This window comes from Homo sapiens, chromosome 1 (genome assembly GCF_000001405.40).
Source record: "Homo sapiens chromosome 1, GRCh38.p14 Primary Assembly".
Lineage (NCBI taxonomy): Eukaryota > Metazoa > Chordata > Mammalia > Primates > Hominidae > Homo > Homo sapiens.
In genome coordinates this window covers 201,213,631-201,229,869 of record NC_000001.11, presented here as the reverse complement: position 1 = coordinate 201,229,869, position 16,239 = coordinate 201,213,631, and the positions used below count along the sequence as shown (strand labels likewise).

Sequence of the window (16,239 nt, the reverse complement as noted above, 5' to 3'; positions counted from 1 at the left end):
AGAACCTTCCCTTGGTCACATATTCTCACTCTTCAGAAACAGATTTTTGGCATTAACCCTTCCTCCTGTGATTCACCCTCCTTCCTTCATGCATCTGACCTGCAGTTAGTGGCAAAGGGAGGCTGAGGGAAGCAGAAGCCAGGATCTGAGCAGAGGGAGTGAAGGGCAGACAGTGTTCTAGCTCATCGGGTCACCTGCTGGGCCTCAGAGCTGATGCCCTGGGAGAGAGTGGGGTTCAGCCTTCCCCGGGGCTCCTTCCTTTCTTTTGGCTCCTGGAAACTCTGGAATATTTCCTGGGAGCCTGAGAGTTTGGGGGCCATGCCTTGAGGATAATGGAGTGCAAGAGTTCTGGGGGCAGTGGTGGGGTGACCCACCTGGGAAAGGGAGGCATCCCATCCCTCCTGTGACATGGGGCAGTGGGGACTGTGAAGAAGGTGAGGAGGCCTCATGCAGCCTTGAGTGAGAGTCACCCTCATGCACTTGAGAGCCTCTTTCTTCCCCTTCTGACAGGGGCATAGATCCTGGAGTAGGATTCTCCCCAACTCAGACTCTTTCTGGTCCCGGGGAGTGACGGACATAGGCCAACCCTAGGCAACCCCAGCCCTGTGGTCCCCACACACGTAACACCTGGGGAGGCCTCCAGCCCTGCTGCTCACAGGATTTCTGCCAGTCAGAAGAGTGCAGGAAACAAAGGCCAGGAGGAAGAGAAGCCTCTCCATTACCCTCTAACCCTTCTTGGCTTTCTCGCCCTTGCAATCAACTATGTAGGCCTGGGCTGCAGGAGAAGAGTCCAGTTCTGAGCCCGTTCTTCCTCTATCCAGAACCCACCCATCCTCCCAACTGAAGCCTGGAATAAAGGCTCCGCTTTGGAAATCTTTCCTCCAACACACCCACCCCAAGTAAATTTGCCAATGATCTGCCTGTATTAGCCTAATGTTTTAATGAAGAAACGCATAGAAAGCACTTGCTGCACCCCTGGAATCTCTTGAATCCAGGAGGTGGAGGCTGCCCCCACCCACACACACGACCTTGATGCCCTAGTCCTCACCCAGGTCCTCTGACCTCCTCTCCTCTTCCCTCCCAGTGGTCACAGCAGGCCCAGCTGTGCCCACCCTCCCTCCAAACGGCTCAGCCCAGGAAAATAAGGAGCCGGCCCATCCTGCAGGCAGGTGCCCTCTGGATCTCCTGAAGCGAAGAAGAAAGAAACCCATATGGTGAGGGTCCAGGAGGTTCGCTGTCATTCTGTTGAGTGACTTAGCTTGGAGCCAGGAGGTGGAATGCCCTCCTCCCTTGTTTTTCTTCCCCAAGGACTTCACGTCCTCCTGGCCAAAACCTCGCCAGGCATCTTCTCACTCCCATTTTCCTGGGGCTCTGGGCACAGCCTCCATCCTTGGGATTGGCTTCCCGGGCCAGTGCAGGTGTCGGAAGTGAAGCTTCAAGGGTCCAGGACCATCCCAGGGTGAGGTGAGGCTAGGTGCTGGGTTCTGCAAGACACAGGATATTCCAGTTGGTTCAGAGGGGCAGCCACCCCACCCTGCATCTGTTCAGTGGTGAAGAAAACTCAGAATGGGGCTTAGACTACAGGCTCTGCCATCAGGGGGTGTGGGTTCAAATCTGGAGCCACCACGTGCTCTCTAAGCTTGGGCAAAGCCCTTTGCTGGCCCCTCGGGGAACCATAATCACCCCCAATGCCATCTTCGTTCCGGGACTACATGTGTACACAAGCTGGGGTGTTTCGAGAGTGGCTTCCTAAATGCCTAAGCACAGGTGCTACAGAGAGGAGAGATGCTCTGCTCCAGTGCAAAGGGGCCGTTTTTCCACAAAGGTCAATTGAGGCTTGCCTTTTATTGCTATTCAAAATATAAGGTGTTTTAAGTACTATCGAAGGAAAAACCTTTATTAACATATATATCTGTGCTACTGAAAAGGAGACTACCAATGAGAGAATCAGCATGGCTTTCTAGGCACTAAGTGTTCATATCTTGACATACTTAAGAAACAGCAATACGGATGCCTGTTCATCTCTCAGCCTGCAATGTGTAGCGTGGCCCCACTGGGAAGCTTAGGTGAGCAGTACACAGCCCTTCAATCAAGAGTTGCTCACCAAGTTCAAATACCTCATTTTAAAAGTGGGCAAATCTGCCGGGCACAGTGGCTCACACCTGTAATCCTAGCTCTTTGGGAGGCCGAGGCGGGTGGATCACCTGAGGTCAGGAGTTTGAGACCAGTCTGGCCAATATGATGAAACCCCCCTTCTATTAAAAATACAAAAAAATCCGCCAGGTGTGGTGGCGGATGCCTGTAATCCCAGCTATTCAGGAGGCTGAGGCAGGAGAATCTCTTGAATCCAGGAGGTGGAGGCTGCAGTGAGCCGAGATCATGCCATTGCACTCCAACCTGGGCAACAAGAGCGAAACTCCGTCTCAAAAAAAAAAAAACTAAAAATAAAAATAAATTTTTTAAAAAGTGGGCAAATAAAGACCACATGTGGGCCGGTGTTGGTAGGTTAAATAGCTGAAAGTTCATAGAGTCAGGCAGAGAGTCCTGGTCTCCTGACTCCCGGCTGAATCCCTCTAGGCACCCCCCGGAGCCTCCCTGACAGGCAGGTGGTTGCTCTCCTGGCTCTCCTTCCTGCCCCACTGCCAGGGCAGCCACCATTACCTATGACAATGAGGGTGGCAGTGCTGACTGCCTGGCCCAGCGTGTTCTCAGCCACAGCCTTGTACTCCCCGCTGTCCTTCGGGGATACGCTGGGGATGGTGAGGGAGCACACGCCCAGCAGGTCAGTGCTGTACACCGCGGGGTTTCCTTCCAGGCTGCGGTCATTCTTGAACCAGGTGACGTGGGGCCGGGGCGAGCCCTGCACGGCACAGCTCATGCAGCACTCGCAGCCCTGGGGCAGCAGGTGGGACCGCAGGCCCACCAGGAACCGGGGCTTCTGGCTCAGGTCGGGCTCCCGGTAGCACGGAGCCTTCACTGTGAACCTGTCTGTGGTGAAAGCCGGGGTGAGAGAAGAGGGTGAGAAAGCGAGGAAGGCCTGGCTGAGACCCGGGTCTGGGTAAAGAGTTCATGAAGCTACCATGTAGGCCTTATCTGGGATTTCCTGCCACATCTTGCCTGCAAATTTGGACCCCAAGGCTTGCCTCATTCTATCCTTTTCCTAAAATTCTTTATGGATTTTTTTTTGTAGCTAATACACATTCACTGTGGACAATTAGAATACACAGAGAATCAAAGGAGAAAGAATAAAAACCAAATCATAATCTCACTACCTATAGATGACTATAGCTGACATTCTGGTGTAGAGCTTTCCTGAAATTTTTGTATTTTATGAAAATGAAACCTTGATTTGATTTTATAGCCTGCTTTTCTGTGACTGATCTTAAGGTCCACATCTACTTTGCGGTAAAATATACACTTTGTTTTCAGAGAAACATTAACCTCTATTTGCCTTATTGTCTGTGGCTGCTTTTGAAAATCCTCCCAAAGGCACCTCAGACACCAAAACACCCACACCAATCTCATTCTTCCCACGGAGGTCGGGGTGCAGAGGATGCCAGAACAGGTGGGTGTGAGGCAGGAGCGGGAGGAGCAGCAGCTCGGGGCTGCTGGCTGTTATTTGGCATGCTCCAGGCCATCCCTGCCACAGTCCCTATCCTGCGCGCTTGCCATGCTTGGGTGCATCCCACTGCATTGCAGAGCGCAACCCCCACCCTGCCTGCTCCTCCCTCTCAGGGGCTGCTTACCGCGCTGCCGGGGGATGCACCAGGGCTGGCTGGTGTCCGAGGGTTTGCTGGCCCCCAGCTCATTCTTGGCCACCACCCTGAAGTGGTATTCGTGGCCGGGGAGGATGCCCAGGAGGGTGAAGCGGTTGGTGTGGATGCGGTCGGCTGCCTCGTGCCAGGGACCGTGCGCTGAGGAGCGTGTGAACACCGCGTAGTGCAGCGGGACATCCTGGGCCTCGTCAGGAGAGGGTTCCCACTCGGCCGTCACCGTCCCAGGCACGTTCTCCTGCAGGTGGATGGGCCCAGGGGCCTGCGGGCATGCTTCAGGAGAGACGGCAGAGGGAGGTCACGTGGAGGGGACCCAGCAGGGCTGCTACCAGCCCCCTCCAGGTCCCAGGACTTCTGAGGGTCCTGGGGAACGCAGTCTTGCCACACAAGTAGCTGGACCCAGAGTAAGCTTGGCCAGCGGTCCACAGTTATCTCTAGAGGGTAGAAAATCTCCCCAAAAGAGTAATTTTAATTCACTTCAGTGTGTTTGTTTGTTTGTTTTTTGAGACGGAGTCTGGCTCTGTCACCCAGGCTGGAGTGCAGTGGCACGATCTCGGCTCACTGCAAGCTCCAACTCCCGGGTTCACGCCATTCTCCTGCCTCAGCCTCCCAAGTAGCTGGGACTACAGGCGGCCACCACCACGCTCGGCTAATTTTTTGTATTTTTCGCAGAGATGGGGTTTCACTGAATTCACTTCAGTTTTTAAGTAAAATGACACAGGACAAGGCATGCATTTTTGGACAGAGGCAGGGCTCTCATGAAGCTGCATTACAGAGCCCCCACTGTTAGTCTATTTGATCATTTCTGGATATCCAGAAGCTCCTCCAGGGCAGGGGCTGTGTGGAGCCACAGCTGGGGAGGAAAGCCTTTATCCTGTGCAACGGCTGCAGACAATTTTGTCCCCTGGGTCTTTGGAGTGATGTAACAGTGGTAACCGCCTCTGCTCACTGACTCAACGGGAAGGATAACTGAGGTCGGAGAGGAGACATGACATGACTGTCTCTAGGCTCCTGAGGCAGAAGGACAATGGAAGTCCCCAGGGGATCTTCTGGGGTCCTTTCTACTTTCTATCATCAAGCATGGAGGAAAGGTGGAGAATGGTCACTTTGCATACCCAGCCCTGGTAGAGTGGCTGAGACCTATGATCAGACCAGTGGACACCTCTTTGCCTTGGTGAGTGGCCGAGCCAGCGTCCAGAGCCCAGAGCAAGGCCTGCCTCACCTGCCACCCTGATACGGAAGCTGTGGGCAACCTCCTTCCCCTGCAGGGTCCTCAGCACCACAGTGTAGAGACCACTGTCTGAGAGTCCAGCCACAGGGATCAGAAGCTGGGTGAGGCCATCCTTAGTGACAGTCACACTTCTTTTGGGCAAGGGCAAGCCATCCTTCAGCCAGGTCACCTCAGGCATGGGCATGGCCTGAGAAAGGAGAGGAAGGAAAAGTTGAGAAGGGGAAGCTGGCAGTTTCATGGAGGTGATGGCATTTAAGCTAGGCCAAAGGTAGAAGCGGTGAGAAGAGTCTTCTACAAGGAGAAAGTCGACCAGAAAACACAACGTCGACAAGAAAACACAGGTGGGAAAGAGGGGTGGTGATAAAGTGTGAGGTTGGCAGGCGGGTATGGTAGGGGGGCGGTAGAACAAGAAAGGAAGTTGGACGAAGAGGTTCGGCAAAAATGCAAAGTGCCCTCCACGTCACACCTCTACAGACATCTGGACATTATCCTCTCAGCCAGGAGCCGCTGTTGTCAGATTCTGAGCAGGAAAGCATAATGAGTTCTGGATTCACATGGCAGGGGGTGGGATGGGAATGAGAAGGGATGTGTGGGGAGGGGAGTGTTAACCACCCTGGCAGCCAAGACCATGTAGGAGATAATTTGGCAATAGTCTAGGAGGAAGATTGCGGTGTCCTGGCCTTGAACTGTGGTGACCCTGAGCAGGGTGGGAAGGCCAGCCCAGCTGCTTGGTGACCATGCCGTCAACTCCCTACGGGGCCCTCAGTACAGGGCACGGTGGGCACCAGAGTCAAACGAAGATGCTGATAGTCACTAACTGACCTCACAGGATTGTTCTGAGAATTTAAGGCGTTAATAATAAATACACGGAAAGCAGAGAGAACAAGGCCTAGGACATGGTAACTACTCAATGTGCATTAAATATTTTTGCCATCATTATCATTGTCATTATTGTGGTTAAGAACAAGTCATTTAGAGTAAGATAGACTGGTTTGAATTCCTACACAGATGATGATGATTTTAAACAATAATAATATTAAAACATATTGGGTGCTGTCATATGCCAGGCCCTACATATACACTTTCAATATATTAATTCCTTGAACCCTCAGACCTTTGAGGTAGGTTACTATTATTATCCCCTTTTGACAGATGAGGAAGGTGAAACACAGAGATGTTAAGATATTTGTTCTGGCTGGGCACAGTGGCTCACACTTGTAATCCCAGCACTTTGGGAGGCCGAGGTGGGCAGACTACGTGAGGTCAGGAGTTTGAGAGGCCAGCCTGGCCAACACGGCGAAACCCCATCTCTACTAAAAATACAAAAATTAGCCGGGCGTGATGGCATGCGCCTGTAATCCCAGCTACTTGGGAGGCTAAAGCAGGAGAATCGCTAGAACCCGGGAGGTGGAGGTTGCAGTAAGCCGAGATCGTGCCACTGCACTCCAGCCTGGGTGACAGAGTGAGACTCCATCTCAAAATAAATAAATAAATAAATAAATAAATAAATAAATAATATTTGTCCAAAGTCAAACGGCTGTGAGTGATGACATCAAAATTTGAACCCAGGCAGTTTGTACTTTTAGCCACCACCCTACTGTTGTAAAGTCAGGTGGTGTTGGTGTTGGTTAAGGATCACCCTGAGTCAAATATAGGTCATGTGCTTGCACAAAAATACATTGTGAAGTCAAAGGGGATCATCTGCACGACCGGCTCCCTGAATTCCCAGACTAGGAGAGGTGGAGAACCGAAGAGCCTTAGTTTGGAGGTGCAGTAGCTGAAGCTACCACTAGAGGGATTTGCAGGCCTGGAGCAGAATGGCCACCCAGCCGCCAAGTGAGGGCAGTACCTTCAAGGAGGACCTGAATCCTTCCTGCCTCATGTCTCTCACCTGATTTCCACAAGCCCAGTCAGTGATTTCCACAAGCACTGACTAGGGGCCAAAAAGGAACAGGGAAGAAAAGAGAGCCACAGGGCTGAGTCTGGCCCCCTTGGCCTCTCTGGGCTTCCCTCCCCACACCCCTGCAGGTACACTCACTTCAAAGGAGACGGGCACACGAACTGTGTCCCCGACCTTGACTGTCAGCAAGTCCTTGGTGCTGGAGTCCACGAGGAACTTGGGACAGACTGAAACGCACAAGAGGACTGGTTACCTCCCTCCTCCCTCACAGTTGGACCCCAGCCCCAGGTCCCCAGCAAGGTAGGGCTGGAGGGGAAGACTGGGCCAGTCGGATTGATGCTGAGATCCCAACATACTGGGGCCTCTAAAGGACTGGAGTACAGCTGGGAGCAGAATCTTCAGGGGAGACCCCAGGGGCTGATGGGGAGATGCTAGCGGGGGAGGGACAGGAGCTGAGAAAGGAACCCTGCAGGGAGAGGGGTGGACTAGGCTGGAACAGAGGAAGATGCAGACATGTGGCAGAGCGCTTATGTTTTGCAGATGAGATAAACACCAATCTAAGACAGGAAATGACTTGCCTGAGGTCACACCTTGTTCGGGAGAGAGCCAGGACAAGATTCTGGGACTTTGGACTCCGTGTGCTGTGTTTGTGACTCCCTACTGCCATAGTGATGACTAGGGTCAGCTGGGGTGGCCCAGTGTCAGCTTGGGTCAAAGGCAGATCAGGTGCTTGTGGTGGTTAAAGCCCAAAGGGAAAGACAATCCTCTTTTCAATAATAACGGGGAGCTGGGCATGTCCCATTCTGAACGTGAACCATGGGAGCTGAGCGGCCCTTAGGCCTTCGAAGGCCATGCCCGGGAAGCAGCCACTCTCTCTCCTACAGAACATCAACTTTGGAGTCTCCAGGTTTAAATCCTGGCTGTACCACATACCATTAGTGACAACTAGGGCAAAGTACCTTGAACCTCAGTTTCCTTCTCTGTAACTTCGGAATAAAAACATTAATATTGTAGTATAGTTATGAGTCGTAATGAGAAAACATTTCTAAGAAGGGACTGCCTAGCCCAGTACCTAGCACCTAGTAGGTGCTCAATAAATGTTACTTCCTGAAACTGAGGGTGGGGATCCTGGCTTAGTAAGTGCATTGCGGCTACTCAGGGGCCCCCTCTTAGGAGAGGCCTGCAGGGCTCAGGGGTCGGGGAAGGAGGCAGCACTCACCAGTAACAGGCATGGCTTGCACTAATGTGTCCAGGGCACTGGGCTGGCTCTGGCCTCCTTCATTAACTGCTGTCACCCGCACGAAGTAGCCCTCTCCAGGCCGAAGCCCCTTGGCCGTGTAGGTGGTGACTGGCACGGTGCCCACATGGCACGGGAGCCACTGGAGACTGTCTGAGCTGCACAGCTCCACCACATACCCCTGGGCTTCATCCCCTTCCTGGGTGTCTGGCCCAGCCCAGCTCAGAGTGATGCTGGTGTTCGATCTGTCTGTGACTTGGAGATTCCTCACCAGCCCAGGGGGTCCTGCCAGGCACCATGGGAGAGTCAGGAATGGCATCTCCTGAGGGAGGCCACTCAGTGTGGATATTGATTAGCCTTCCTTGTGGGAGACTGGGAATTGTTTTCACTTAGCAATTCTGCCTTTAGATTCTTCCTGAAGCACCTACCTTGTTCCAAATTCTTACTGTAACCAGCACTTTGTCTCCGTTATGCACACAGATCCCAGGCCACCTCCACCAGGAAGCCTCCCTCAACTCATTCCCCTCATTCATTCACCAACCTGCCAAATGCCTTCTCCTAACTATCCTTCTGTAATTCCTGAAAACTGATATTTTAGTTGATGACCTCTTGGGTTCCATTATCCCGTATGACTAGACTTCCATGTGTTTTTATTCTGGACTCTAAGCTCTTAGAGTCACGACTCTGCCTTCTGGGTACTCAGTGCAGGCTTCTTGTTCTCCACTTATTACATGAGAACAATAATAATAGCCCCACCTACCCACAGAGGTTTTAGAACAAGCAAAAAGCACAATGAGTGTGAAAGGGCTCTGGCCCTCAAGTCTGGCTGCACGTTGGAATCACCTGGTGAGCTTAAAAATACTGGCACCTAGATGCCACCCCAGAGATTCTGATTTAATTAGTCTGGGGTGCAGTCTAGGCATCAACATTTTTAAGAGTTTTCCAGGTGTTTCTACATATGCAATGAAGTTTGAAAACCACTGGGCTAGGGCAGTACTTCTCAAACTTTAATTAGTATAGAAGTTACCTGGGGATTTTTGTAAAAAATATAGACCCTGATTCAGTAGGTCTGGGGTGAGGCCTGAGATTCAGCATTTCTCATAAGTTCTAATAAGATGATGTTTCTGGGCCATGGGCCTTGCTTAGCAGCAAGAATCCAGAAAATGTAGTGATTGCTGTGGCTACTGTTAGACACTGCTTATCCTATCTATTGTCTCTACTTCCCACCACTGATAAAAGAGATTAACAGGCTGTGGGCCCATGGCTCATGCCTGTAATCCCAGCACTTTAGGAGGCCGAGGCAGGAGGATAGCTTGAAAGCAGGAGTTCAAGACCAGCCTGGGCAATATAGTGAGACCCTGTCTCTACAAAAAGATAAATTAGCAGGGTGTGGTGGCACATGCTCATAGTTCCAGCTGCTTAAGAGGCTGAGGCAGGAGGATTGCTTGAGGCCAGGAGTTCAAGGCTGCAGTGAGCCGAGATTGCATCACTGCATTCCAGCCTGGGTAAAAGAGTGGACCCTGTTAGAGAGAGAGAGAGAGAGAGAAAGAAAGGGATAGAAAGAAGAGAGGGAGGGAGGAAGGGGGAGAGAGAGAAAGAAAGAAGAGAGGGAGGGAGGAAGGGGGAGAGAGAAAGAAAGAAAGAAAAAGAGAAAGAAAGGAAAAAAAAGAACAGAAAGAGAAAGAAAGAAGACAGGGAGGGAGGAAGGGGGAGAGAGAGAGAGAAAGAAAGAATGACAGACAGACAGAAAAAAGAAAGAAAGAGAGAAGGAGAGAGAGAAAGAAGGAAGGAGAGAGAGAAAGAAAAGAAAAGAACAGAGAAGAAAAGAAAAGATAGGACAGGCTTGGTCCATTTGCAAGGAGTAAGTTGCATGGGCCGGCTTTCCTCCCCCATCCCTCCATTCCATGTCCTGCCCTTCCTAGGACTAAAACTCAGATACCACTTGAACAATGAAATGTACAGAATGTTTCGGTCTTGTTGGGTTCATTCAAACAGCCTGAACACCTGCAGTGGGCTGGGCCCTGTGGGGCACAGAGATGCTCTCCAGGTGTTGACCACCTGGCCCATCCGTCAAGTGCCAGAAATGTGCTGCTCCCTAGAGGACTTGGCGTAGGCAAACTGATTAGGGGATGAGAAATACAGAGCAGCATTTTCTAAGCTGTACGCCTTGGAGTGACGCTTTTAATAGGTATTTTGTGAAAAAGCTAGATTTGGATCAAGGTTAGACAGGTTTTTTTCCCCTGCAGGACTTGGAAACATCAAAAGCTCACATCATACACATCTTTAATCACAGACATTTTTTGCTGTTCCTGTTCTCAGAATGTCTGTTGGCATCTCTCAATACACTCCATGTTCCCAAGACCACAGGTCTCAGATAGAAAATGCTATCTCAGACTATAAGTTTCTCAAGGGCAGAGACCAGGATTGATTTACCTACTTCCTGGCACAATGCTGGCCATTTAGTAGGTGATGGGCAAATATTCATTGGATAGAGAATTGATGCTGAGCTTCCCCTGTTACCTGCCCTCCGCCCTGCCTGATGGGCAACACTAGGGTGAGTGGATGCTTATGAGACTGGGGCAGGTGGGCCAGCTTGGGGGCTGGCCTGCCTAGAGGCCAAAGAGTGAGTGAAGTGATCTTGAAAAGGACTCTGCTTTTTTTTTTCTTCTTTCTTTTCTTTTCTTTTTTTTTGTAACAGGGTCTCCCTCTGTCATGCAGGCTGGAGTGCAGTGGTGCAATCATAGTTCACTGCAGCCTCAAACTCCCGGGCTCAAGCAATCCTCCTGCCTCTGCCTCCCAAAGTGCCAGGATTACAAGTATGAACCATTACTTGGCAGGGAAGGAATCCTCTAATCCCACTGCCTGGCTTCTGGGCCTGTTTGAGCTCACGTAGGGCCCCTAAGATGTGGCTCACCCGAGAGGCCTTTTGATTTTTATATCCCAGCCCTCCTGACCATCTCCCTCAGGACTGCCCCGACCTGTGACCTTTGACCTCCCATCAAGTCCCACCCAGCTTCAGGGCTATCCCATGCTCACCTCCACCCCCATCCTGGGTTGGTGCCCTACTTACTCATGGGGTCCCGAGCAAAGACAGCATCCGATGGAGGTCCAGGCTCTCCGGGACCTGAGGGAGCCACAGCTGTGACCCGGAACTCATACTGACAGCCCTGCCGCACGTCCGCCACCGTCCACCTCCTCTCTGTGAACAGCCCGCCCATGTGAGTCCCACCCTGATGGTGCTGGACATGGGGAGATAGCTTGGGTGCCTCCAAGTTCTGAAGGAGACCAAGCCTGGGGTCCTAACACATCCCTCCCTACATCCCTCCACCCGCTGTGACTCAGTTCCCTCCAAGGTGGAAAGAGCACTGCTCAGGGCGTCAGGAGCCTCTGATCCCTGTCTGGTTCCACCACTAACTTGCTGGATGTTCTTGGGCAAGTACCTTAATCTCCCTGGTTGTCTCTGCCTTACAGAGTTGCTGTCATATTTAAATAAAGCAGAATCACTAAATAGTGAAATTGGGAGAATGTTCATCTCTCTCTTTCTAGAGATAAGGAAACTGAAGCCCTGACAGGCCTCAGCTCCTAAGTAGCAGAACCATGACCTGAATCCAGGTCTCCTGGCAAGCTGTTCCGAGCCTGTTCTTTCCTCCTCAAACCTGGACTTCCGCAGCACGCATGCAGAGCAAGGAAATGCTAAGGGTTATCACAAGACCCTTCAGCATCTGCCCAGCCCTTTGGCTTTTCCAAGTTCTTTCTGATCTCAGAATGCAGTTTGTTTCTTTGGAAACTACTTAGTGGGGCAGGGGATCCTCCTCTCCACTTTATGGATGTGGAAATTCAGATCTAGAGAGGAAGTGAACTGTCCAAGGTCAAGGCCAGAAGTAGAGGGGCCAGGGCTAACAGCTTCATCTCTGGCTCTCAGCCGGGATTTCTGAATCAGGGCTTCTTCACCTCAGCACAATTGAAATTTTTTTGCCAGATTCTTCTTTGGGATTTTTGAGAGGAGGAGGTGGGCTCTGTCCTGTAGAGGAGGAGGTGGGCTCTGTCCTGTATACTGTAGGAGGTTTTGCAGCATCCCCGACCTCTTTGCACTAGATGCCTGTAACATTTACCCTCCACCCCATTGTGACCACGAAAAATATCTCCAGACGTTGCCAAACCACCCTAGACGAGAACGACTGTATTAAACCAATCTGAACTGAAAAGTCCCTGGGATCCTGGAGCCAGGAGGGGTCTAAGGAAGCTCTGGAAGCCAGGACAATGCTCACCAGGCACCGGCTGGTCGTTCACTGCCGTCCAGGTGTTGCTCCCCTTCTTACGCCTCTCGATCAGGTAGCCCAGGATGTGGGCGCTGCCGGGGCCCCGAGGTGCTGTCCATGTCAGTGTGATGCCCTGGCTGGAGGCCGACAGGATGGCTGGCGCGGAAGGGGCCTTGGGGAGAGCTGGGGGTAAGAAAGATTCCAGTCAGCCAGAGGCCTGGGAAAGGTGCCGGCTCATGGGGAGCCCCTGGGGGTAGGGGGCACAGGCATCTGGGACAGGCCACACTCCGCCCTGTCCTGGTGAGTGTCGGGGCTGAGGCAGCCCGCCCTAGGTCAGTGTTCTGGCTATTCAAGGGAAGGAACGAAAGGACAGAGAAGGCACTGCAGCCTCGGAGCCTAGAACCAGCCCTGAGACCCCTCAGCCTCCAGTCCTCTGATAGGATGTTGGAGGCGGATGCTCCTCTCTCCCTGGGACCCGCGACAGTGGGCTTTGCTGGCCCACACCCTCACTCCTGGAGACTCTGTAAAACACTTCCTGATCTGGGTGCCAGATCCCAAATGCAGCTGAGGGAAGGAGTCTCCAGAGTGCTACAGAAGGGCCTCCGAAGCCCCGAGCACAGGCTGGTGTCACTCAGCCTCTGGGACAGCCTGCCCTCCTCGGCACAGTGGGGAGCCCAGGAGTGTCCCCCACCCCCAGCCCCAGCCTTTTCTCTCACCCTCAGGAGCCACCAATATCTCCTCAGACTCCAGGGCCTCGCCAGCCCCCTCTGAGGTCACAGCCCGCACTCGGAAGGTATACTTCCTGCCTGGCTCCACATGGGCATCCGTGAAGGTGGTGCTGTCAGCGGGGGCCTCGCCCACCTTCAGCCAAGTGCTCCTGCCAGCCTGCCGTCTCTCCACCACGTAGCACTCTACAGTCCGGCCCCCATTGTCCCTTGGGGGCCGCCAGCGGAGGCAGACGCCAGCCCTATGGCAATCCTGAACCTCCATGGGGCCTTGTGGGGGATCAGGCTTGTCTGGGGACCCACAGAGAGGAGCGGGAAGAGGAGGGGTCAGAGGAGCTGGAGGGGAGCAGCGCCAACCCCCCCAACTCCCCGCCACCCCGACTCCCCCCCACCCCCATCCACTCATCAGCAGATAAGCCTGCAATGGGGCAGACTGTCCAGAGAGCCTTGGGCATTACCCAGAGGGCCACACATTCTTGAGATGTCTCCACCCCCAACACACACATGCACCCAGGGATGTGCCATGGAATGCACCAGCCCCTCCCGGCCCCACCGTCCGGTGGCTGGTATGGGCACCTGCTCGGCCAAGAGCAGTCCTACCTTGCTGGCACCACTCAGGGCTGGGGACCACCATCCTACCCAGCAACTTCCTGAGGGCCCAGTGTATTGGGGTCAGAGAAGCATAACCGGCTCCTCCCCCCCAGCAGGAGCCCAGCACTGTGTTCATCTCAACTGCTTCTTCCTAAGCAGTCTGAGCAGAGTTAGTGGTAGGTCTGGATCTTAAACAGCATGCAAATGAGGATCAGAGCCAGCAGAGATCATATCCCAGGCCTGCCCTTGATGGCAGGGAGGGCCCAGAACCCCAGGGACTCTCAGGCCTTAGTTGGGGGAAGACAGGGCTGGTACCTATGACTTGCAGAGTGAGCTCGGCCTGCACAGAGCCTCCCTCACTCCTCAGTGTCACGCTGTACTGGCCACAGTCCTTCCTGCCTGCGCTGGGGAGGCACAGCCGCGTGTAGCCATCCCCCAGGTCCACCTGGGCCTCCCTGTCACTGCTGCCCACCACCTCAGCCCCGTCCTTCCTCCAGGCAGCCTGAATGGGGAGGTGGCTCTGGAAGGGGATCTTCACTATCACCGGCTTCCCAGCCTTGACCACCAGTGGCTCTCTCAGTTTCTCTGTCACATCTGGAGCAATGGTAGGGGAATCTAGAAATAAAACAAGAGAGTCAAGGAAGACCAGGGCACTGGGCACCTGGGGAATATAGAAAGGAGGACCCAGAGAAGGAAGTTTGGGGGAAGAGTAAGGAATCCCCTGCCCCACCACATGAGGACAAACAAGGGGAAGGGGCTTCATCTGCAGCAGAAGAGACCAGGCTTAGACCTCACCAAGGACTTCCTGACAGGGAAAGAGCTAAGATGCTGGAATAGGCAGGGTATGAGTCGGCTTTTTAAATCATCTTCTCTGGGGATGAGATTAGATACTGGCTGCAGACTAGCCACAAATTCAGGTGTTTTAAAGCAAGGCATATCACCTGGTACAAAGAGACTGTGGGACAGGACAGGGCAGGGCAGGGCAGGGCTGGGCCTTACCCTGGACGGTCAGGGTGGCCTCGCTCTGCTGGTCACCAGCTACAAAGGTGTACCTCCCAGCTTGGGTCCCCTGCACATGCGTGATGAAGAGGCTGTGCACGAGACCGTCTTGCTTAAAGATGACTCCATCCTGGGTGGTGAGCTGGAGACAGGGCCACAGCAGGAGAAGGTCACCCCACTCCCATCCCAGTTCCTTCAGGCCAGCTAACCAGAGCCCTTTACTGATGCTGGGATCCTGATAACAGCTGTGTGAATGGAATGCTTATTGTGTGCCAATGCTCTCTGTGCTTAGCACCTTATTTAATTGTCGTAACAGCCTTATGAAGTAAGTACTATTATTTGTCCCACTTTATAGATGAGGAAGCCAGACTGTTTGCCAGCTTGCTTGAAGTCTTATAACTGGTAGTGGCAGAGCTGGGATCTGAAGCCAGACTTAGCTGATACTGAGCCCCATGCCCTGAGTCACTGTGATGTCTCTTGGGGTGACAGCTTTAATGGAGGACAGAGGATTGTGCAGGGAGACGAGGGCCCCCTTCTGGTTGGGATGAGACGATGGCATTTGTACGAGGCCTTGAAGGATGGGTAGGATTCAGCAGGTATGGGTATAGAAGAGGCATTTTGGATGGTGGAAGAACAAGGGGTATGCTGAGGGGCATAGGATACACATCATTTAAAAATCCAATTTTATTTTAAACACACCAAGTTATTGGCTATTTAAACTTCTCCTGAGGTGGATACATTAGCAAAATGAAGAATGAAAAATCTTTCTTTCAAAGCCTCTACGCTCTTGCCCCTCTCTGCTTTACCTCTGTCCCTCCCACTGGTAAAGAGAAGGTGTGAGGGGAGGCAGTACCTTGACGCCATCCTTAAACCAGGTGCCAGGTCCCAGGTCACTGGTGAGGGTACAGGAGAGTGTGGCGGCCTCCCCCGGCTGCACTTCCATGTCAGCCAGGCCCTGGGAGAAGTGGCCCATGGGGCCTGGAGAGACACAGAGGGAATCCCCAGGGCCGAGCGCCCCAGGCCATGGCCTGCGCTGTGCCCCGCAAGGCCACCATGGTCCTGCCAACTGGGCTTGGCTGGTGTCAGCAGGGCTGGTTCCCAGCACCTATGCTATCTTGGCTCCAATGCCCTGGTCTTCCCAGACAGGAGCCCAAGCATTGCTGCTTTTCTCAGCAGGACCTAGGCTGGTCCAGGAGACCTGGGGTGTAAGGTATATGAAGGGCCCCCCCGCCACAGGTGAGAAGTCTGGTAACCCACAGAGAGTTGGGTCAACAACTCTGGTGCTGTGGACATAAGGTTTCAAGAGCAGATACCTAGGAGACCTCTGAGCCTCTCACAGGCTGGACCCCATCTGCGTAAAGAGGAAGAGGTTGCTTCCTAAATTTGCAAAAGATTCCTGAGAATGGGGAGCACTGGCAGGGACAAACTCCTGGGGCTGGAGGCAGAACTGGGACAGACCCAAGCATCCCAGTGGCCAGGGAGCTCCCCACTGTCTCTAGCCCATGGGAGCCAGCTCAGCAGAGA

General features: G+C 53.0%; 1 protein-coding gene across 5 annotated transcripts in view, besides 2 other annotated features; it reads right to left on the bottom strand.

The window, feature by feature from the left end:
- Window positions 1–917: 917 nt before the first annotated feature.
- IGFN1 (immunoglobulin like and fibronectin type III domain containing 1) overlaps window positions 918–16,239 on the bottom strand; it is a 38,129-nt gene continuing 22,807 nt past the window's right edge. For 3 of the 5 annotated variants that reach the window (NM_001164586.2, NM_001367841.1, XM_017002787.2), the window contains 12 exons: window positions 15,569–15,693; window positions 14,716–14,857; window positions 14,032–14,331; window positions 13,117–13,416; window positions 12,410–12,583; window positions 11,212–11,340; window positions 8,124–8,426; window positions 7,043–7,131; window positions 4,996–5,191; window positions 3,747–4,046; window positions 2,662–2,988; window positions 918–1,484 (listed from right to left, as the gene is read on the bottom strand). In NM_001164586.2, coding sequence (NP_001158058.1) covers window positions 1,471–1,484; window positions 2,662–2,988; window positions 3,747–4,046; window positions 4,996–5,191; window positions 7,043–7,131; window positions 8,124–8,426; window positions 11,212–11,340; window positions 12,410–12,583; window positions 13,117–13,416; window positions 14,032–14,331; window positions 14,716–14,857; window positions 15,569–15,693 — 2,399 coding nt within the window. In that variant the 3' untranslated portion in view covers window positions 918–1,470. Of the gene's footprint in view, window positions 1,485–2,661; window positions 2,989–3,746; window positions 4,047–4,995; window positions 5,192–7,042; window positions 7,132–8,123; window positions 8,427–11,211; window positions 11,341–12,409; window positions 12,584–13,116; window positions 13,417–14,031; window positions 14,332–14,715; window positions 14,858–15,568; window positions 15,694–16,239 lie in introns of those variants that run through there. The other 2 variants (XM_005245580.4, XM_006711618.4) reach the window with 2 other exon arrangements.
- Window positions 3,322–4,314: an enhancer, noted in NCBI's record as "H3K4me1 hESC enhancer chr1:201194684-201195676 (GRCh37/hg19 assembly coordinates)". NCBI's record gives its function as "activates a minimal SCP1, AML or CMV promoter by ChIP-STARR-seq in naive H9 embryonic stem cells {active_cell/tissue: H9 hESC(naive)}" and the evidence as "EXISTENCE:reporter gene assay evidence [ECO:0000049][PMID:30033119]".
- Window positions 6,786–6,895: a silencer, noted in NCBI's record as "silent region_1688". NCBI's record gives its function as "represses an Ori minimal core promoter by ATAC-STARR-seq in GM12878 lymphoblastoid cells {active_cell/tissue: GM12878}" and the evidence as "EXISTENCE:reporter gene assay evidence [ECO:0000049][PMID:35858748]".